The sequence below is a fragment of the Homo sapiens genome, chromosome 5, assembly GCF_000001405.40.
Source record: "Homo sapiens chromosome 5, GRCh38.p14 Primary Assembly".
NCBI classification, from domain to species: Eukaryota; Metazoa; Chordata; class Mammalia; order Primates; family Hominidae; genus Homo; species Homo sapiens.
Window position 1 is genome coordinate 14,609,549 of NC_000005.10, and position 24,173 is coordinate 14,633,721.

Sequence of the window (24,173 nt, forward strand, 5' to 3'; positions counted from 1 at the left end):
AAATAATGTAGTTTTTATCATGAGTGTTCTTTTATTTTTTCACTAATTTTTTTCAAGTAGCTTTTTCCTGTGATTTTTTTTTTTTTTTTTTTTTTTTTTTGAGACGGAGTCTCGTTCTGTCGCCCAGGCGGGAGTGCTGTGGCGCGATCTCCGCTCACTGCAAGCTCCGCCTTCCGGGTTCACGCCATTCTCCTGCCTCAGCCTCCCGAGTAGCTGGGACTACAGGCGCCCGCCACTGCGCCCGGCTAATTTTTTGTATTTTTAGTAGAGACGGGGTTTCACCGTGTTTTCGATCTCCTGACCTCGTGATCCGCCCGCCTCGGCCTCCCAAAGTGCTGGGATTACAGGCGTGAGCCACCGCGCCTGGCCGTGATTTTTACATGCTAGTCTACAGAGTTGTTCCTATGCTCGTCCCCTTCCTTCCACACAATGAGCATTTGTTCTGAACTCTGTGCCCACTCAGTGGTGTATGGGTGGGTCTGTCAACAAGCAGATTATTTCATAAACTGCAGAGGAACACTTCCCCCCACCGTGGCGGGAGGCAGGAATTTGCAAGTGTGTATCTGTGACCTGTCTTTCATCTCATCCACAGATTGATATGTTTATACTTGGATACTCCCTTGAAGTAAAGATAAAAGTGTTCAGACTGTTCAAGTTTAACTCCAGAGACTTTGAAGTCTGCTACCCAGAGGAGCCTCTCAGGGACTGGCCGGAGATCTCCCTGCTGACCGAGAACGACCGCCACTACCACATTCCAGTCTTTTAAGTCCGCTGGGGGCCGAACAGCAGTGCTCACCAGTGACGGTGGTCACAGTTGCAATAAAGTCTCTCTCTGAAACCAAAGCTAGCATTTCAGCATGGAAGGAATTAGGACCTTTTCTTCAGGATTACAGGTACACTGGATGCAGCCATGCATGGATGGTTTTTCTTTATTTTTCAGTGATTTCCTCTGAAGCAGCTGCACTGATACATTTGGGAGTTGGTGGCTTGACTTTGTCCATAAGGGGCGTGGCCACTTCACATGATGGCGGGCCTTTAAGAGCACAAAGAAGTTTAATATGGACAACAACAGGAAAAAGCAAGAAGAAAACAAGTAGGGAAAAACAGCTAACCTGGAGAGAAAGAATTTCTTTAACCTTTATGTTCTTCATTAAAAATCTTATCTTGGACTGATTTGAGGGATTTTTAGAAACATGGCCTTATTTTATATAAGCATTACCTTCCCAGGAATCTTTGTTGTATATTAATTTTTGATAACCATTTGATTAACTTTAAAATTAAGTATATGTGTGTATATATACATATGTATGTTTATATACACACATGTATCTGTATAGTTTTATATATACATATATACACATAGACATACAGAGAACCACTACTTTGTAATAGTGTACAGTTTGTTTTATATCTCTTTACTTTTTTTGTTACTATTTTATCTGGCCAGCTTAATAGTTTTATTTAGATTTTTTAAAATTCTGTAGATTAAAGCAAATGACAGTTATTGAACTATCACAAAACTATTAAACTGTGGTACATTTAATGTGTATTTAATGTGTGGAATCTCATTATGGTAGGCAGAATAATGCCCTATGCTCCCCAAAGATGTCTGTGTCTGAATCCTCAGAGCCGTAAAGGGCTAAATGGGTTAAATGGGAAAGGAGAATTAAGGTTGCAGGTGGAACTGAGATGCTAATCCAATGATGCTGAAATAGGGAGATTTTTCTAGATTCTCCAGGTGGACGCAGTGTAATCAGAATGGTTCTTAAAAGTGGAAGAGGGAATTGGAAGAGTGTCAGAGTCAGAGGGGAATGTGAAATATGGAAGAACGGTTAGAGAGAGATGCACCATTGCTGGCTTTGAAGATGGAGGAAGGGGCCATAAGCCAGGGAGTTGCAGGCAGCCTGTAGAATTGAGACTGGAAAGGAAACAGAAACTTCCCCATAGCCTCCAGAAGGAACGCAGCCCTGCCAACACCTTGATTTTAGCCCAGTGAAGCCTGTGTTGGACCTCTAATCTGCAGAACTGTAAGATAATAGATTTGTGTTTAAGCCACTAAGTTTGTGGTAATGTGTTGTAGCAACAGAAAACTAGTATTCTCAGGCTAGTTTTTGGTCGTCTTTATTTTGGAAATACTTTTCTAGTTTAATTTGATAGTTTTTTTTTTGGAGGTACTTTGCTAGTCTGTTTTGAGTTTCAGTACATAAGAATAATTTTTAAAATCTTGCTAATTATATATTACTTCAAAGTCACAAATCCCTTTCTAAGAATGACTTACTTCACGAGATATTTAGCACTATCATTTTCCCAGATGTTCATATTATTTCTGCAATAAATTAAAAGGGAGTGTGTCAAATGCTGTCATGTCTGAAATTAGCATTCATATTCTTTTGCAATGGGGATGATCAGTCGTGTGTACTACATGAACCATGTCTGATGGTAGCTTGTTCCCACTGTCATTTTGTTTTCTGGTTGAAGATTAATGAGCTCAGCCACAGAAACAAGAGTTCTTCATTGACCTCTACAGTCCCTGCCTGTTTGGAAACATCTATGGTTTTGTATAACCCCTGTCATTTAACTGACAGTGTTAGAAGATATCCCCCTGATGTGTTACTGTAACCAAGAAAGCATGAACGTTACCCTTTCTGGTGACAGCCTGCCATGGGCTGCTGTGGCTGATACTTATAGAATTGTTGCTCCAAAATTTTGGCTCCACTTGAGCTGTCCAGAAGTGTACCTGACATTTGTGTATTACCACTCACCTTGGATCTCCTTACTAGTGTAATTATTTCCACATCAATCCAGGACTGAAAGGAAAAATTTTTTCACCAGGATTGGCAGCCTGTAGCTCTGTGACCTCAGTCAACCCATCATGTTGTGTTGTGGGCGGGGGGCAAGAATTCTTTAGAGAACCAAGTTGCGAGAAAGATTTCAATCCAGTGAAAGTAAAAAGTAAGAAGACATTTAGATAGTTGCTATATTTTGGGAAGATGTCAAAACAGGTTTTTAGGGAGGAGGTATGAGGTGTTGTGTTGTTTTGTTTGTTTTTATTCAGTTGTATAATGAATATAACAAATTAAGTAGCCAGAAGGAGCTGCATGTAAATTAGCACCACTTTTAAATGTCAACAATAAATTTGAGGTGAGCTTCCTGGGTGATGCCAACATTTAAATGTCTTTCTAACCGTATATGTTTTAAATGGTGAGAGAACTATAGCAAAAATGGAAACATAATGCCCTCGTCGTTTTTTGATTTTAGGATAAGTTTCTCTCTCAAATTTTGGCCTTACGTGTCCATACTGAGGGGTTGTATGCATATTAGTACAAGGCTGACTTTTACTGTGGTAAAATACACATAACATATAGTTTATATTTTAACAATTTTTTTTTTTGAGACGGAGTTTCACTCTTTTTGCTCAGGCTGCAGTGCAGTGGCACAATCTCGGCTCACTGCAACCTCTACCTCCCAGGTTCAAGCGATTCTCCTGCCTCAGCCTCCCGAGTAGCCGGGATTACAGGTGCCCACCACTACGCTCGACTAATTTTTTGTGTTTTTAGTAGAAACGGGGTTTCACCATTTAGCCAGGCTGATCTGAACTCCTGACCTTGGGCGATCCGCCTACCTCGGCATCCCAAAGTGCTGGGATTACGGGTGTGAGCCACTGCGCCCGGCCCTAACAATTTTTAAGTGACAGTGACATTAAGCATATTCACATTGTTGTGCAACCCTCACCACCATCCACCCTCAGAACTTTTTAAAATCTCCAAGACTGACTTTTTTTCAAAGCAGGCAACTTTAATTCCCTACCTGGTATCTGGATTCCTTTTCCTTTTCATGCTATCTTTTCATCATACCTCTTCTAATCTGAGTATTTCCTCTGGGCTTAAAAGAGCCTCAGTGGAGAAGTACAACCTAAGAGGGAGTTAGGTACAACCTAGGAGGGAGTCAGGAGGAGAGAGTTAGGTTAGTTAGTACAACCTAAGAGGGAGTTAAATGGATCAGGAAAATCGTGTTTTATCTCCAAAGTAAAATGATAACTATGGGTGGCTTCTGGGCTCAATTTAGAATATTATCATTGAAAAGTCCCCAAGAAACTATTAATTCAGAGCCACCCTGGTGAGTTGAATTTCTTGAATGTCTTCATGGTCTTGAACCAAAGTCATTTCCACCCAAGGGAGAGTCAGGTGAAAGTCCCCAGGGCCCTCTCTAGGGGACCGGAGACCTCCAGACTAAGCTGGTGGAGGATGGGCTCAACCTCCATGAGAGAAGAGCAGCCAGGATCAGGGGGCATTAACGTTAATTTTCCCAGGACTTTTCTGCAAATGGGTATTGGATGGAAATATTTGTTCTCAGTCAGATGAGTTTCTCCTATTTTAGTGAGACCAAAGAAAGACAATTTTAATTGTGTCCAAGCTGACTTTTTTGAATGCTCTGGAAATGTTGGAATTCCACATCAAAGTACGTAACTGTTTTAAACTGATAACTAACCCAATATGTGAAAATATATGCAAGCATGAATAAAGGGTTGACTAATTCCAGAATTAGCAATAATTTTCTCTTAAATAGCAAATTTCTAAAGCTGTATGATTCTCTTTGCAAGAATGTTTTTCACACTGCTTAATAAGACCAGTTAATGTGTAAAACAGAAAAAAGTATATATATATCATATGTCTTTTCATGCATCTGAAACTTTAACTGTCTATAGGGTTGCTTGTCATAGTTGAACATTATTTAATTAACTTATTGACTATATATGGGTATACTTTTCTCTATAGCCATTCACTTTTTTAAAGTTTTAATTATTTAATTGACAAATTAGCTATTCATTTTCCTTCAAATCCTGTTTTTATCACAATGTCCATTTTACAGCTAGACACAAAATTTAGTGGGTCCAAATTGTTCAATCACTTCTATGTTATTTGTTCAGAATAGTGGATCTTTGCTTAATTCACTTCTGTTTTAATCCCATCATATTCCTTTAGGCCAAGAAAAGGAAAGCTGATTTGGATTATATTTATGCTTAATATCAACATGGTTTATAAGTGGACAGAAAAACACTCACTCACGTATTCAGCCACGTATGGTCTGGAGTGCTCTGTAGAACAGCCCGAAGTGTACACCATGTCTCTGCACTTGAAGCTCATGGAATGTGTTGGAGGAGACTCAAGCTCCATGTGGGAACAGTGTGGCCCAAGAGCCAGCATGGAGGAGGGCTGTGTGAGCAGACTGCTATAGAATGCTAAAGTTATAATCCTAGCTGGTGTCTCGTTCTGTTTAAAAAAATCAAATTTCTGTATGTAATTGACGTATTGGTCCTTATAGTCAGTACCATCAGGTCTTAGATTGTTAAGTCATTTTGCTGCCACCAGACCAGTGAGAGTCACTCACTTATTTGTAATGATTCTTGGGAAGTTTAGTCAAGAGAATATCCTTGAATAAAGAAGTACATGTTTTAAGTATTTTCATCGTAGTCTAGATGGGCTGTAAAACCCATTTCCACACGAGTATAAATTTAAAACAGAAACATCAAGGTGTCAGCAATCATGATTTTGTTTTGCTTGTTCACAAGTTTGAAAAGGTGCATGAGGCACCAATCAGTGACACTGGAATGCTTTAAGGATGGTTTGTGACTTTACCCCATTGTGCCTTATCATTTGTCAGCAAACTTACTGGGCCAAACACAAATGGCTGAGACACTCCTGGCCCATTTCTTGTCATCGCTGCCATCCCCAAAGACAGACTCTGGGAAACAACTTGGGAACTGCTTCAAGTCCATGCCAGGTCATGGCTTCGTCCGCCTCCCAGCATGTACCTGGACTTCCTTTGGGTGCCGGCTTTTCTGCTGGACTAAGATTCATGGAAAGAACCCCAGGGCAAGGTGAGGAGAAGCAGCTGGTACAGACTGATGACGAAGGAGAGGACCAGAAAAGCTGCTTGGGTGTGGTGGAAGTTTCAGTGTAATGTGATTCCTAGTAGGCACATCTGTGACTCCCTTAAATAAAAAGGGCCAGAGATGAGGGGACGCCTGGTGAAAATGGTGTTTGTTGTAACATCTTGGTATCATTGTGGGTAAGTAGAACAAATATTTACATCTGTTATGAAAAGCTACCTTTAGCCGTAGATAAACATTAAAAGGAAGACTCAGCCCCAGAGTATATTTGATCTATTGGTTAACTCATCTGTCAGCAAATGGTTAAGTAAGTAAAATTAATTTTTCCATTTGGTGTGTATTTCACAGGGTAACAATGAAGTGCTCCAATCTGCTTGTGAGACCAGTTAGATTAGTAGTTGCAGTTGAGACCATTCCTCCTGTATGTCTTTACAAGCAAATTGAAACGACATGCTCTTCTTTGTACTATACAGAAGGACACACCACAGATCCTCTTTTTAAAGCAGGTAATAAAGTAGCTTTTTCCTTTTGAAACATCATTGTAAAACAGTGCTTTTTAAACTATCCATGGTAAAGGATGAGTTTTAAAAATTCTAATCCTTTGCAGGTTGGTAGTTTTATAAATACGATAAAAATATAGCACCAAGATTAGATTGTTATAAAAGTTTCTAAACACTTTCAGTTTCTGTACTTAATCTTGCAGTGTGGTAATAAAGACTTCTACACTTTAGTAGCACTAAAATACGAGTTTCAGGCAAGATTCAACAGATTCTGTTATTTGGTGGCTGAGATTTTGCCTAGAGCAGGAGGGCAGTGATTTTGGGTTTTCGCTATTATTGTTGGAACTAGGGCCACCATATGGGCTTCTGCACACGCATCTTGCTTAGTGGTCCTCGACTGAGGAGAGGTGAATGAAGCTGAGATCTTCTCTCCAAGCCATGGAGGGCTTGAGGTATCAACTGCCCCAAGGGAAGGATTGTCTTTTTCTACCAATAAGGCTCAGCCTACTGGCCAAGCCCTGCGCCAGTGGGGATGCCTTTTCCTGATTTTCATAAAGGGCTGTATTGGCAGGAGGTCCCTGGATCAGCCAGATAGTCCCACTGCCGAGGTGCACATTGCAGGAAGAGGATACTGTTTTGAGAAGACATTCATGGATTACTCCAGTCCCTCAGAAAAAATCGGCAAGAACCTACCTGAGTTCACATTTCTTTGTGCTTCAGAAAAAGCATCACATTTTATTTCTTTACTGGATTTCAAGTTCCTTGTGGGAACGGATGTGGGTATCATATCATTATGACCAGAACATTGCTCGTATAAATGTCAGAGGAATTCCAAATTGCAAGTTGATGATGAGAGCCAAGCTCAGCTGTTATTTCTCAAAGAGGCAAAGAATCTAACTGTGATTATGTTCCCTGGAAATTTCTTTTTATTGATCCAGGAATTTTTAGATGTAGTCAGGGGACAGAAGCATATGCTGACATATTCATCAAGTCAGGGTGGCCTATAGAATGGACACGAGTCAAACCAAGTTTTGCTAACAATGTATCCCTAGTGAGGTTGAAATTAACCAGGGCCATCAAGTTCACCTAGAAACAGGTTGTTGGACTGATATGCCTGTGAAAGAATGTTATTTAGTGGGATCACAGATCCTAAGAATGGAGAACCTTGAGATGTCCTGGGGCCTGGGTGTGGTGGCTCACACTTGTAATCCCAGCACACTGGGAGGCCGAGGCGGGCAGATCACTTGAGGTGAGGTGTTTGAAACCAGCCTGGCCAACATGGTGAAACCTCATCTCTACTAAAAATACAGAAAATTAGCCGGGCATGGTGGCAGGTGCTTGTAATCACAGCTACTTGGGAGGCTGAGGCAGAAGAATTGCTTGACCCCAGAGGCGAAGGTTGCAGTGAGCTGCGATTACGCCACTGCACTCCAGCCTGCCAACAGAGTGAGACTCCGTCTCAATTGAAGAAAAAAAAAAAAAAAAAAAAAGATGTCCTGGGAATGCACACACCGTGTTCCACTGCCTGTGGAAGAGGCCTCACCCTGACCTGCCAGCTGCCCTTTCTGGGCTCAGTGGAGCCTCCATGCAGATTCCAGGTTGGAGGCGCAATGTACAGTTGAGCTGGTGTGGCAAATAGGAAGCAAGAGCAGAGACATGGGTGGCCTGGATTAGCAGAGCCATGGCAGGGACACTCAAGTCCATTCAAATAATTATCATATTGGAAACACAGGCACGCGGCCAACATGCACAACTGAAACCAGAAAAAATTGAGGGCCTAGGGGCATACCACTAACAGAGAGGAAACTTTCTTTTGATGCCAAGTGGGATTGGAGGGAGTTCTTAAACAGCAGGAGGCATTGGATGGTCTCTTCTCCACCAAACTCTGTATTAACCTGGACATATCCAGGTTGTTGGTTTCCTAACAGTTTTGACACTCTCTAAAAGACAAACAGCTTGCTTGGCATTTGCAGGCCTCAAGTATGGTGTGGCTGAAGAGGAGGCCCAGGTTAAATGTCTGCACTAAGAAGAGCTTTGAGCAAATTCATGAATTCCAATTCTGTGTGTATTTTTATTGTGAATGACAAATGTTTATGAGCTTAAGTTTGTTTTATTAATGTAATTAGTCTGGACATGGTGGCTCACGCCTGTAATCCCAACACTCTGGGAGGCCGAGGTGGCTGGATCACCTGAGGTCAGGAGATCGAGACAAGCCTGGCCAACATGGTGAAACTATGTCTCTACTAAAAATACAAAAATTAGCCAGGCGTGGTGCATGGCGAGTGCCTGTAATCCCAGCTACTTGGAAGGCTGAGGCAGGAGAATCACTTGATCCTGGGAGGCAGAGGTTGCAGTGAGCCAAGATCGCGCCACTGCACTCCAGCCTGGGTTACAAGAACAAAACTCCATCTCAAAAAAAAAAAAAAAAAAAAAAAAAAATATATATATATATATATATATATATATATATACACACACACACACACACACACACATACACATATAATTAGTAGGAAATATTGCCTAAGCCTAAGTCTATCTTGTTAGAAATGCAAGAAATTTAGCTAGTGCATTCCTGTAGTCCCAGCTACTCAGGAGGCTGAGGCAAGAGAATTGCTTGAACCCAGGAGGCAGAGGTTGCAGTGAGCTGAGATTGCACCACTGCACTCCAGCCTGGGCAACAGAGTGAGACTCCGTCTAAAAAAAAAGCAAGAAATAACTTCTAATATTCTTTGGGTTCTGTTGAAGCACTTTAGGTTGTGAGGGTAGAAAACTTCTTAAGTGAGTTGGATAGGGAGAATCCCACACACCGCCAGGGCAGGAAGTATAGCCAGTCCTCACTGGAAGTTGCCTGAAACCTGTAAAGTCAAGAGTTAAGGTTACCAGCTGCATTTCTGCTGATCCATGAGGTCTCACATCTCAAGATTGCTATGCCTTATGCTGTACATTTATCTCTTCTTCCTCCTCACTTTGTGTTTCTTTGTCTTTCTCTGTCTTTCTCTACCTCTGTCCCCACTCCTCATCCCTGGAATGTGAAGTTGCTCCTACTACTGAGCAGAACTGCACCTTAGTTCACTAGTTCAGATTCCTGAGAAGCAAAATCTGATTGGCTAAGATTCTATGGCACTATGGCCCTTGCACTACCTGCCCATCTCTAGACAATCGTCTGTAGCCACAGTGTGGGGAAAGGGAGCCCCCAGAGCAGAACCACAGTTTCTGGAAAATGCCCGAGCAGGACCACATCTGAAACCATATCTAATACATGTTAGGCTTCTCACCTTTCCCCTTTCATGATGGCAGATGAAGCCTGTTCAGATCAGTGCATAACTAAAATTGGCAGTTATCCAACTAGAATCCTCATTCATAAAAATCTTAATCAGTTCATTTGAGAGGAACAAAGACAACTGCTTGGTGACACAAATCTTAGGGTAGCAGTCATGCCAGGTTGCTCGTATGAAGTAGTAGAAGATAGAACAAAAAGTTACAGATACCCAGAATAATTCCCTTCATGGGCAGGTTTGTTGTTTTTGGTTTGTTTAAATAGCTGAAAACATACTCGTTCCTGTGCTGTTTTTAAAATTCAGAAAAAAAAGCTCTGTGAGCATTACTCCAGTATTTTGATGGAAATGGTTTACAGTTCCTTTTGTCCTCTAAACCTGAAACTAGGTACATTTTCAGCCCCACTTTTAGCGGCAGCTGGTTAGCTCTGTTTGCAAAGCATTCTGGCTCCAGTACCTGAACTTAATGGTGCAGATGCTGGATCTGTCATTGTTAGCTTCCTTTGAGTTCCATGATGACTTCCTTAATTTGTTGTTCTCTTTGTGCCATGAGTAGTAAATTCTTACCGGCAGTGAGAAATTAGCTCCTCTGCTCTTAAGCATAAGCACGAAGGTCAAATCTCATGGTCTGAAGCTACATGCACAGAATTCCCAGCAGCTCTATCACGGCTAGTTTTATGTTTACTGTAATGAAATATTTCCCCCCAATCCTATTATGACTTCTACAGGATATTATATTTGTTAAGGTACATCCTGGGGCCAGGGAACAGAACAGAGTGCCCAGACCCTTAAAAAGGTAAACCTGGTGGCTGTTCTTACTAGTCAGAGTTGCATTTGTGGCTTTCTAGACATTGAAGTAAATAAAAACAAGAAATCTTAGTAGGGCTTCATAGTGAATATCAGAAAAGGTAGTTTGGTATTATAAATGGATAATGCTACAAAATATATTTCTGGATCAATGTGTGTTGGAGACATTAAATTTATCTACATTCCAAAGGTTAACAATGGCACTAAACCAAGCCAAGGGGAGAGTTCTAGTTTTTTTGTTTTACTTTGTTTTAAAAATAAATTCAGAAAAGAGAAAATATTTCTTACAAGCTAATGATCAGCAATACCTAGTGGAACGAGTAATGTTGAACAATGCTATGGAAAGACAGTATCAAAAGCAGACGGACTTGCAGTTTCATTCTAATAACCTCAGTCTCCACATTAAATAACTGTGGGAAGGAGCAAGTACCTTATAGGACAGATACTGTTGGTGCTGTACCCATAGTTACTCTAGCTCAGGAAAAAGGAAGTAAATAAATATGGTGAAGTAATTTCAAATGGTTCCAAAGCCATTTCCTTACCTTACTCCTAAACTATCTGTAGATAATTGGACTTTCAAAGTCAGTTATTGTGTTAAACAAGGGGCAGTGATGAAAAACTGTAACCAGACATTTTCAGATGGATGAAACAAAGTAGGCATTTTCAAATATGAACTGGAAAGGGACCTCTCCACATAATGCACTTAAAGAGGTTTATAAAGTCCCAGAATGTAAGCAAAGACACATAATGATGAGGGACAACCTCTTAAAAATTCTAACAAACTGTTCATTGTTTCCCACAGTTCCTCTGTGTAGGCTGATGGTCCTACGGAGGTAAATAGTTAGATTAATCTGATCTTTGGTATCACTGTATCCCAACAGGGACCAGGAAGATCATCATCATCTATGTGGCAGACTAAAAGGCTGTTAAATATTTGTATATAGAGAGAATTAAGTATCATACTAAAATACAAACTTTGTGATTAATGAGTGACCCTCTGATAGCTACTTTACAGGAGCATCCTAAACATTTCTCAGCATTCATCTCATCACACTTTCGTTCATTCTATGTAACTGCAGCCAATCTTATATTCCACAGTCCTTTACAACAACTCTTTGTTTTGAGCTTTATTATAGTGGAGGTAGACTTTTATGAGTATTTTGTCAAGAGCGAGCCAGGGAACTTCCATATTATCCTTTCAAGAGAATTGGCTTCCAAAGTGACTTTTCAAGAGAACCAGAAGGGTCATCCCATGCCTTAGTAGTAGAGCTAAACTATCCCAGAATAGAGGCTACTTCAAACCTACCCTAAACACGTTTAAAAAGAAGCCATGAAAGGATCAAACAAATCTGATTTTCCAGTAACTTAACTGTCTTCTAACGAAGCCATTCTTTAAGGGAACATGGCAAAGTTCAGATACTTAACTCAATGTCCACCAGCCAATAAAAAATTACTAGACATGCCAAGAAGCAGGAAAATGTGACCCATAACCTAGAGTAAAAAAAAAAAACAAAAAAACCGTCAATAGGAAAAGACCCAACAATGGCAGACAATGGAATTAGTAGGCAAGGACTTTGAAATGGCTATTACATATATGCTCGATGTGTTTAAATATCGTTAAAATATAATCAGGAGAGATAGTGAAGATATTTAAAAACCAAATGGAAATTCTAGAGGTGAAAAATACAATATCTGAAATGAAAAATACATTGGATGGGATTAACTGCATCTTCTTTATGGAAAAACAAAAGATCAATGAACTTGAAGTTGTAGCAATAGAAACTATTCAAAGTGAAACAGAAAAGCAATGGAAAAAAATGGGGCCTCAGTTACTTGGGGGTAATTATTCATGTAATTGCAGTCCCAGTAAAGTGTTTGTTTGGCTGGGGGGTCGGGGGCAGGAAGGAGGCCGGGTGCCATGGCTCATGCCTGTAATCCGAACACTTTGGGAGGCTGAGGTGGCAGTATACCTTGAGCTCAGGAGTTTGAGACTAGCCTGGGTAACATACCGGGACCTCATCTCTATTGAAAAAAAAAAATAGCTGAGCATGATGGCATATGCCTGTAGTCCCAGCTACTCGGGAGGCTGAGGCAGGAGGAATACTTGAGCCCTGGAGTTTGAGGCTGCAGCGAGCTGTGATTGCATCACTGCACTCCAGCCTACATGACAGGGTGAGATCCTGTCTCAAAAACAAAAACAAAACACAAAAACATTGAAGAAATAATGGCTGAAAAAAATTCAAATTTGATAAAAACTATGATGAACACACAGATTCAAGAACTTTCATAAAACTCAAGTAGGATAAACACAAAAACATCACATTGAACCACATCATACCCAAATTGCTGAGAAACAGTGATAAATCTTAAAATCAGCCAGAGGAGAAAAAGCATATGAGATACAGAAGAACAAAGATAAGAATGAGACAGATTTCTTTTTAGAAATGATGCAAATCAGAAGATAATGGTATGACACCTTTACTGAATAAAACATTTTTTGGGGTCAATGTAGAATTCCACATCTAGCAAAACATCCTTTAAAATTTTTACCCTAGGCTGGGCATGGTGGTGGCTGAAGCAGGAGGATCACTTATGTCTAGAAGTTCAGGGTTATAGTGTGCTATGATTGTGCCTGTGAATAGCCATTGCATTTCAGCCTGGACAACATAGTGAGACCCCATCTATTAAAATAAAATTTCACCTTAAGATAAAATAAAGGCTTTTAGGCTGGGCGCGGTGGCTCATGCTTGTAATCCTAGCACTTTGGGAGTCCGAGGTGGGCAGATCACCGGAGGTCATGAGTTTGAGACCAGCGGCCAACATGACCAAACCCCATCTCTACTAAAAATACAAGAATTGGCCAGGCCTGGTGGTGCATGGCTGTACTCGCAGCTACTCAGAAGGCTGAGGCAGGAGAATCACTTGAACCCAGGAGGTGGAGGTTGCAGTAAGCCGAGATCACACCACTGCACTCCAGTTTGGGCAACAGAGTGGAACTCCGTCTCAAAATAATAATAATAAATAAATTTAAAAAAAGACTTTTAAAGACAAAAGCTGAGAGACTTTGTTACCACCAGATCTGCACTATATGTAATATTAAGGAAAGTTCTTTAGGCAGAAGAAAAATAAAACCAGATGGAAACTTAGATCTATGCAAAGGGATGGAGAGCATAAGGAATGCTAAGTATAAATGTATTTCATTCTTATTTAAAAATGTATTTTAAAAGTAATTGACTGGCTAGGTTTGGTGGCTCATGCCTGTAACCCCAGCACTTTGGGAGGCTGAGGCGGGCAGATCACCTGAGGTCAGGAGTTCAAGACCAGCCTGGCCAACATGCTGAAACCCTGTCTCTACCAAAAATACAAAAAGTAGCCGGGTGTGATGGCGCATGCCTGTAATCCCAGCTGCTCGGGAGGCTGAGGCAGGAGAATGGCTTGAACCCGGGAGGCGGAGGTTGCAGTGAGCCAAGATCATGCCATTGCACTCCAGCCTGGGTGACAGAGCAAGACTCCATCTCAAAAAATAAAAAAGTAATTGACTATATAAAGCAAAATTAACAAATGCATAATGGGGTTCATTACTTATGCTGAAATAAAGTGTGGGATAACAATAGCACAAAAGATGAGGCCAAGCGTGGTAGCTCATGCCTGTAATCCCAGCACTTTGGGAGGCTGAGGTGGGCGGATCATGAGATCAAGAGATAGAGACCATCCTGGCCAACATGGTGAAACCCTGTCTGTATTAAAAATACAAAAATTAGCTGGGCATGGTGGTACGTGCCTGTAGTCCCAGCTACTTGGGAGGCTGAAGCAGGAGAATCGGTTGAACTTGGGAGGTGGAGGTTGCAGTGAGCCGAGAGCTGAGATCGCGCCACTGCACTCCAGCCTGGCAATGGAGTGAGACTTCATCTAAAAAAAAAAAAAAAAAAAAAGATGAATAGGGAAAAATGGAAGTCTACTGTTATAAAATTATAACATTTAAATATTATTATTTAAAGTAGGCTTGGTAAGTTAGGGATATGTATTATAAACATTGGCACAACCACTGAAAACTAAAATGTAGACGTATAGCTAACGAATAGCAGGAAATAAGGGAAGAAATGAACAAAGAACAGATGAGGTGAATAGAGAACAAATAGCAAGATGGTGGATCTAATCTCAACCATATCGTTAAGTGTAAATTATATAAATCCTCAAATTAAAATGAATGAATTTGATCCAGCTGACCGGCGAGAATTTTATAATGTATTATGAAGTGAAAAAAGCAATATGCAGTTATGTATAGAGTATGATTCCATTTTGATTCAATGTTTAGAAAGCAACAACTAAAACTTAAGCATACCTATATATCTCTGTATATATGTATGTGTGTACATATATATACATATGTACATATATACATACACAATAGCTTGAGAATGGAGAAAGTGTAGAAGGAGAAACATTGGACTGCTAGCATTATCTATGGGTGGTGGGATAGGGAGGGGAAGGAAAAAATAAAGGAGACTGGCAAAATGGAAACATGCATGAGAAAATGTTACCCAAAAGTGTTAACTATAATATCTCTGTGACAATATGGCTAATACTAAAAATGAGTTCAGAACATAGACCAGGAGTAGAACTTGACATGAACATGTGAAAACATTGAATTGACTTAGGATGGGGTTGTGGCTAATTTTAGTCTTATATTCTAGAACTTCAGAATAGTTTCAATAATATTTTATTAAAATTAAAACTAAAAATATGAGGTTTGAAGATACAGAAAATTATGACCCAAATTCCTTTTATGTAGTGTTTTATAGTGTTCTTTGAATCTCTTAGTTTTCTGGAGAGAAGGCAGAGACTCTTTGTGTAATAATTCTCCTAAGAGAGTGTTTCTGGCCTGTTAAAAATGCTTTAGCATTTTAGCTGCTATTGGCACACAACACTGGCTCCTATAAGTGGTCATTAAACATGGCGAGATACTCCACTGGAAGTGAGAAATGAATTGGTCAGGGCTCTTTGGTTGTAAGCAGCAGGAACTGACTTTGACTGACTGAAAAAAAAAAAATTATTGGGAAGATGAATTCAGGCAACTCCAGCAGGGAAGCAGCAACTCCAGGAATGGCCTATTGCTGGAGAATTCTGGGCAGGTTGCTGCCACTGGCATGAATGAATTCCAGTCTTCCAAATTTACAATGGCTCAGATGTCAAAGCTCTGGAAGACGGCACTGGACTCATCACATGTTCATTCTGTAGATAGGCCAGGACCTACTGGGAGGTGCTCAGGACCCCTTAGGGTTTCAGTAGCAGGAGGGCTGCTACCTGTAAGTACAGTCCCACCAAGATTGCAGAGGGGGAAAGTTATTTCCCGAAAATAAAAATCTGAGTGTGCCCAAGATACACCTTTCTTAGTACTGCAAAGCAGAAGAGAAACCACAGAGAAAAATGTGCACAGAGCTGAGTGTCTACCTGCAGCACACGATCCAGTTGCATTCCTGAGTCTGGATCCCAAATTGAAGAAGGCATGGCTTGCAAATGCTTTCATGCTATGAATCTGTGGGAATTGAATTTATGGTCCTAAGTCCAATGTAATAGACATATTATGGTTTGTTTTTATCTTGAAGGAAGTTGATATAGTAATTTGTGTTGATGGCTTATATATAGATAGTTTTAGGTATTAGGTATTTTTTAAATAAATTCTCATTTCATTTTCCATCTCTCAAGTGTTACTATAGTATAAAATAATTGTTTTCTGATGTGGGCCTAAAACCAGAAAAAAAAATTAATACATTAGTAAAATTGGGAAATTTTACTAACATATAATAAATGTTGCTGAGTGATGTGAGATGAAATGGCATGTTTAAGCCTCAGAGGAAGATATAGCAAATGGGCAAGTTGGGGGAAGTCATTAAAGGAAAGATGTGCAGACTGCTGAGATTCTGTGCACTGCAAAAGGAGAATAGCGATCTTTCAGATAGGCTTAGAGTTTAAGAAAATAATAAATTCATCACTGAAATAAAAGGTAAGGATTAAAAAATTGGTATGGAGTGGAAATGGAAAGCCTTGCTTTTTGAAACATTTGGACTCAAGATCCATCTTCCAGCCTTCCAAAATGTTAAGGGCTCCTGTTTGCACCTTCTCAGAATGATGTGCTTGCTTTCTTCAGAAAGACAAGTGTTATTTACTACTGTTTACAGCTTTTGTGATACTGAATCCCAGGACTCCCACGGACGTGTGCTCTGACTTCTTACGCAGTGTTCTTTCTTAAGCCACAGCAAAGGAAATAATGGACATTGAGAGGTCAAGTGTGTGCCTTTCACCCTGTGCCCTTTAAATATCAATAATTATTGTTTTTCTTCTTGAAGAAGCAGCATCTGGTTGTATGGAATTTGGCAGAAGTGGGCATCCTGTGCTAGTTCTTTTGATATTTAAATATGAGCAAGATAGGTAAATGGCAACTAAATCTGAGCCATCTGAGGAGGAATGAGAGTAATAAAAACAACGAAACTGAACCACACGCATTGAGTTAGATGTTTGTAGATTGTCTTGTTGACCTGCCTACCCCAGTCACATGGAGGAGAATGTGAGGATCGAAGAGACTACATGATTTGACACAATTTCACTGTTCAAACACTTCTGGGACTTTTCTATACAATTTCTTGTTTTGAAGAAATACATAATTATTTTACAACAGTGTTATGTGGGGAATCCTCCTTACAGACAAATCCTGTTATGACAAGACTGATCATATAGAAATATATGTAGGGACATGTATCTGCAATTTTGTGTTGAACTTCAACATTGGACTGAATTTAGGAAGGTGATGGATTAGATACATAGCTTGCAATTCTTTCATCATCCTTAAAAATGGGCCCATTTCCAGGCCAGATCCACAGCTATCTCGGGAATTTGCACCCATCTGAAGCATGCTCAAGAAGGGCAGGTATACGAAAAGATGCTCAGCATCACCAATCATCAGGGAAATGCAAATCAAATCACTATGAAATATCACCTCATACTTATTAGGATGGCTGTTATCAAAAAGGCAAGAGATAAATGTTGGAGAAAATGCAGAGAGAAGGGACCCCTGGTACAATGGTGGTGGGAATATAGATTGATGAAGCCACTGTGGAAAATAGTATGGAGGTTCCTAAATTAAAAATAGAACTATCATATAACCGAACAATTCCTCTTCTGGATATATACCCAAAGGAGATGAACTCACCACCTCATAAATATATCTGCACTGTTGTGTTCATTGCAGCATTAGTTAAGTTTTCATGGTAAGAATGGCCTTCTAAAAAATAAATTTTATTGCATATATTTAAGGTGTACAACATGTTCTGAGACAAATACAGTAAAATAGTTACTACAGTCAAGCAAATTAACATATGAATCATCTCATATAGTTACCCCAACCCCATCCCCCATTTTTTCTGGCAAGAGTTCAGTTAAGTTTATATATCTGCACTGTTGTGTTCATTGCAGCATTAGTCACAATAGCCAAGATAAGGAAACAACCAAGGTGTCCATTGATAGGTGAGCAGATAAATCACACACACAGACACACACACACACACACACACACACACACAGAGATTATTCAGCCTTAAAAAAGGAAATCCTGGCATTTGCCACAACATGGATGAATCTGGAGGACATTATGCTAAGTGAAATAAGCCAGACACAGAAAAATACTGCATGATCTCATACGTGAAATCTTAAAAAACCAGTCAAATACACAGCAAATAAAATGGCAGTTATCAGGGGTGTGGTGGAGTACAAATGGGGAGATGTAGGTCACAGGCTAAAAAGTACCAGATATGTAGGATGTACAATAGGACCGTCGTTAATAATACTGTAATTAGGATTTTTGCTTAAAGTGTAGATTTCAGGAACTCTTGCCAGAAAAAATGGGGGGGTGGGGTGGCGGGTAACTATATGAGATGATTCATATGTTAATTTGTTTGACTATAGTAACTATTTTACTATATGTATCTTAGAACATGTTGTACCCCTTAAATATACGCAATAAAATTTATTTTTTAAAAGGCCATTCTTACTATGAAAACTTGAATGAATGAATCCTAAGCCTGAGTATATCCAGAACACTCATCTAGGCTTCTAATGTAACAGGATGTTCTGTGTTCCCAGAATAAAATAAATTTCGTAATAATGCAATGGGATAATGTGTTCAAATGAATACAAGCGATATGGATTATTTCACAAATACTTTCCTAGTTTATCAAACATGTATAATGATCCACAAGTTTTGGGTAAGGAAATGAAGCTAATGGGGTAAGTGACTTGTCTAAGAGTATCTGGCACATAACAATGTATTTTATTGAATGAATGGATTAATGGGGTAGTGTAGCAGATTGATGATGTATCACAAAATGTACACAACGCAATAATGCATACCATTACATATGACAGTGCTGAAAAGAAGAAATGTGTAATAGAAATGTCACTTTTAGAAAATCTGCAGAATCTCAGTAGCTGTCTTCTGTATGGTACCTTTTGAAAGGATGGCATTTGCGAGGGAGCTGTCTGTGGTGCTGAACAGGATGCAACTGCTAGGTCTGGTGATGGCCTTCACCAATTTTTGTTCATATTTTCTCCTGGGCCTCTGTTACCAACGACAACAATATTAATAAAAATTAGTGTAATGTTATCAAGTTTTCCTTTTTAAGCATTCAAAGATTGATTTTAAAAATAGCTTTATTGAGTTATTTACATATCATTAAATTCACCTTTTAAAATGTATAATTCAGTGGATTGTAATATATTCACAAAGTTGTGGAACCTTCACCACGATCTAAATTTGGAACATTTTTATTACCATCAAATAAAGCTCTGTATCCACTAGCAGTCACTCCCCATTCCCCAAACCCTCAGCCTCCAGCAACCACAAATTTACTTTGTCTTTATAGATTTGCCTATTCTGAACACTTCATATAGATGGGAATCATACACTATATGGTCCTTCGTGACTGGCTTCTTTCAGGTAGCATAATGTTTCCAAGGATTATCCATGTAGTAATATGCATCAGTACTTCATTTCTTTTTATTGACAAATAATAGTACATTGTTTGGACCTGTTTTGTTTGTTTTGAGACAGGATCTCACTCCACCACCCAGGCTGGAGTACAGTGGTGCAATCATGGCTCACGGCAGCCTAAACCTTTGCGCTCAAATGATCCTCTCACTTCAGCCTCCCAGGTAGCTGGGACTACAGGCATGCACCACCACACCCGGCTAATTTTTTGTAGCAACGAGGTTTTGCCATGTGGGTCAGTCTGGAATTGAACTCCTGGACTGAAGTGATCCACCTGCCTCAGGCTCCCAAAGTGATGGGATTAGAGGCATGAGCCACCATGTCCAACTGATATACTACATTTTATTTATCTATTCATCAGTTGATGGATATTGAGTTGTTTCTATTTTTTGGCTATTACAAATAATGTTGCTGTGAGCATCCATGTATAAGTTTTCTGTATGGGGATGTTTTCAGGTCTCTTGGGTATACATCTAGGAGTGGAATTGCTGGGCTATAGCATTTCTTTGTTTAACATTTTGAGGAACTGCAGATACTTTTCCAAAGCAGTGGCACTATTTTACATTCTCACATGTATAAGGCTTCTAATTTCTCTACATCCTCTCCAACATTTGTTATTGTCTGTGTTCTTAATTGTAGTCATTCTAGTGGGTGTGAAGTTGTATCTCATTATGGTTTTGATTTGCACTTACATATTCCTGATAACTAATAATGTTGAGCATTTTTTCATATATTTATTGGCCACTTGTTATCTTCTTTGGAGAAATGTCTATTTGAATTATTTGCCCCCCCTTTTTGAGACAGTATATTTGTCTATTTTCATGCTGCTGGTAAAGACATCCCCAAGACTGGGTGATTTATAGAGAAAAAGAGGTTTAATGGACTCAGTTCCACTTGGCTGGGGTGGGCCTCACAATTATGGCAGAAGGTGAAAGGCACATCTTACATGGTGGCAGGCAAAAGGAAAAATGAGAGCCAAGTGAAAGGCGCAACCCTTATAAAACCATCAGATCTTGTGAGATTTATTCACTACCACGAGAACAGTATGAGAGAGACCACCCCCATGATTCAATTATCTCCCACCAGGTCCCTCCCACAACATGTGGGAATTACGAGAGCTACAATTTGAGATGACACTTGGGTGGGGACACAGCCAAACCATATCAGACGGAGTCTCACTTTGTTACCCAGGTTGTAGTTCAGTGGCACGATCTCAGCTCACTGCAACCACTCCGCCTCCTGGGTTCAAGTGATTTTCCTGCCTCAGCCTCTTGAGTAGCTGGGATTACAGGCATGTGCCACTACCGAGCTAATTTTTGTATTTTAAGTAGAGATGGGGTTTCACCATGTTAGCCAGGCTGGTCTTGAAATCCTGACCTCAGATGATCAGCCTGCCTCAGCCTCCCAAAGTGCTGGGATTACAGGCATGAGCCACCATGCCCAGCCTCTTTGCCCATGTTTTAAAAGTTGGGTTATTTTTCTTTTTACTGTTGAGGTAAAAGAGTTATTTATGTATTCTGATACAAGTCCTTTATTAGTATATGATTTGCAAATGTTTTCTCCCATTCTGTGGGTCGTCTTTTCACTTTCTTCATTGTGTAAAGGACTATTTTCAAAGGCGATCTTTCTCTGATTCTTCCCAATCCTTTCCTCAGCAACTCTTCAAGGGTTCGTTAATATTAACATAGTGAGAATTTCAGTATCTATGCTCTGAGTAGCTCATTATGAAACAGGGAAGTCATTTCACTACATAATCATTGGGAAATACCATATGAAATAAAACTCTTAGTTTCTCTCTGGCAAAATACTTGTTTATGAAACTGGATGACACAGCATAAGTGACATCTGTACCTGCAGAAGAGCCATGCCCCCAGTGCTGCACCTGTCTCATTATCTTGAGCCTACTTTCTTCTCAATAAAACAAACTCTGCTTGGAAATGATAGCCAGAAAAAAAGTAAATGGAAGCACAGAACTGTTTCCTATCCTAACAGGTATTAAGCTCCTGTTTTCAAAATCTGTTACTTGGTAAGAAAATGTATTCCTTTCACATAGATAGAAATTAAATTATTTTTAAAATGTAAACTATTATCTTCTGCAAAAGCTTTTCCCCCTTAGTGAAAAGCAGAATTAAAAAAACACTAGTGAGTTAACCAAGATCAGATTTATTCTCTTAAAACGTTCCCATACAGTATTTACCCAGCACCTACATTAAGTTGAAAAATATCTTCTAATTCTCGTAGTGCTGAGTTGAAAATATATCTCCCCTATACTGGCTGTTCTCTACTATGGGCTTAAGGGAATGTTCTTCCTGCTAAAAACAAAAATTGGTATCAATGTAATTGAAGAATTATTTAAACTTCTTTTTTTTGTTTTGTTTTTTGATGGAGTCTCCCTCTGTTGCCCAGGTTATACAGTGCAGTGGCATGATCACAGCTCACTGCAGTCTCGACGTCCCAGGCTTAGGTGATCCTCCTACCTCAGCCTCCCAAGTAGCTGGGACTACAGGTACACAGCACCACACCCGGCTAATTTTTGTATTTTTAGTAGAGACGGGGTTTCACCTTGTTGGCCAGGCTGGTCTTGAACTCCTGACCTCAAGTGATCCATCTTCCTCAGCCTCCCAAAGTGCTGGGATTACAGGCATAAGCCACCGTGCCCAGCCTTAAACATTTAAAATTAAGATTTTAATTTGTTCAAAAGGGTAAATAATATTTTCCAAATGGTTATTAGACAGAAATGATTTTCAAATGGTTACTTTATTAGACAGAAATGATGATATAATAGTTCATGGACCATTTCATTTACAAAGATCTGAAATTCCCATTCAACATTTAAAACTTCAAATTATTTTGCCCTAGTTTATTACAGTCAAAACAGCATCATCTGAAGTACTTTTTATATTTTATCCAAATAATTCCTGGGTAGGTTTATTTTTTAAAATAAATACATAGTGGAAGTCAGAAGACCTGAGTTCTATTTTTGATATCACTAGAAGATAATTGAACTGCTGCTCTAATTTTCTCTTTTTTTTCTCTTTTTTTTTGAGACAGAGTCTTGCTCTGTCGCCCAGACTGGAATGCAGTAGCACAATCTCGGCTCACTGCAACCTCCACCTCCCAGGTTCAAGCGATTCTCCTGCCTTAGCCTCCTGAGTAGCTGGGACTACAGGTGCCCGCCACCATGCCTGGCTAATTTTTGTAGTTTAGTAGAGACGGGGCTTCACCATGTTGGCCAGGCTGGTCTCGAACTCCTGACCTCAAATGATCCACCCGCCTCAGCCTCCCAAAGTGCTGGGATTACAGGCGTGAGCCACTGCACCTGGTCTAATTTTCTGTCTCTTGAGGATGCTACATGAAGGATTAAATAAAGCTGGCCTTGAGCTTTTCTCTGGTGGTATCACCAGAATCACAGTTTTTGCTTTTGTTTTGCTTTATGTGTTTTGTTAGTTTAACCATTATTAACTGCTGGGTTATGAGAATTGACAATCTTCAACAAAAACCTTTATATAACAGGGTAAGAGAAAGGCAGGTTTAAAAGGTTTCTTTAGTTGCTACTTTTGTCATTACCCTGCCATACATTATTTCAGATATGAGAGCATTTCAGAAACATGGGCTCTGCCAGCCTTCGTCTCTTATTTGTCAAAGATCTTAGAGCAGGCACACAGCTGACCATGTTTACCTGGACTTCACAAAGCTTTTGGGAAACTCACTAGCAATTATGATGACACCTGGGGAAAAAAAAAATTCCTATCAGCTGAGTGGTCTCCATAACTTCACACTGCTGGGATGTCTCCAAGGGAAATAGTCATAAAGACACTCTGAAATTTTTACAGAGCTAACTTTCATTGAAAGAAAAAGGAGGAAATAGGCCAGGCATGGTGGCTCACACCTGTAATCAGCACTTTGGGACACGGAGGCGGGCAGATCACGAGGTCAAGAGATGGAGACCATCCTGGCCAACATGGTGAAACCCCGTCTCTACTAAAAATACAAAAATTAGTTGGGCTTGGTAGCGCTTGCCTGTAGTCCCAGTTACTCAGGAGGCTGAGGCAGGAGAACCGCTTGAACCTGAGAGGCGGAGACTGCAGTGAGCTGAGATTATGCCACTGCACTCCAGGCTGGCAACAGAGCGAGACTCTGTCTCAAACAAAAACAAAAACAAAACAAAACAAAACCGCAAAGAACAAGGAGGAAATAAACTTCAATAAATTTTTATTAATTTCAAATGAAGCAAGCAAACATTTACTTGTTACTAAACTGCATGCGAGGGACTGGGCTAGATGTGGGGATGTAAAGATGAATGATACAGTCTGTACTCAAGAGGAGATCACATTATAATAGGAGCCTAATGAAAAACAAATACTAATAAAGCAGTTTTACACCAATCTGCATTGGGAACCAATGGAGATGTAAAAAAAAAATCGTCATAGGCAACTGGGGAGTGGTAGAAGTTAGAGTTTAAAATGTAGCCTGGCATTTTGGGAGGCCGAGGCAGGAGGATTACCTGAGGTCAGGAGTTCGAGATCAGCCTGGCCAACATGGTGAAACCTTGTCTCTACTAAAAATACAAAAATTAGCCAGGCATGATGGCACACACCTGTAGTCCCAGCTACTTGGGAGGCTGAGGCAGGAGAATTGCTTGAGACTGGAGGTGGAGG

The 24,173-nt window shown here is 40.0% G+C and overlaps 1 protein-coding gene and 1 pseudogene across 5 annotated transcripts in view; both read left to right on the plus strand.

Annotated features, from left to right (window-relative positions):
- The window catches only part of OTULINL (OTU deubiquitinase with linear linkage specificity like), a 34,389-nt gene extending 27,757 nt beyond the window's left edge, over window positions 1-6,632 (plus strand). For 4 of the 5 annotated variants that reach the window (XM_047417322.1, XM_047417323.1, NM_019018.3 and 1 more), the window contains one exon: window positions 593-6,632. In XM_047417322.1, the coding sequence (XP_047273278.1) occupies window positions 593-766 (174 nt within the window). In that variant the 3' untranslated portion in view covers window positions 767-6,632. The remainder of the gene's footprint in view (window positions 1-592) is intronic. The other variant, XR_925623.3, reaches the window with a different exon arrangement.
- LOC100422687 (pleckstrin homology domain containing A1 pseudogene) lies at window positions 10,492-11,695 on the plus strand (annotated as a pseudogene).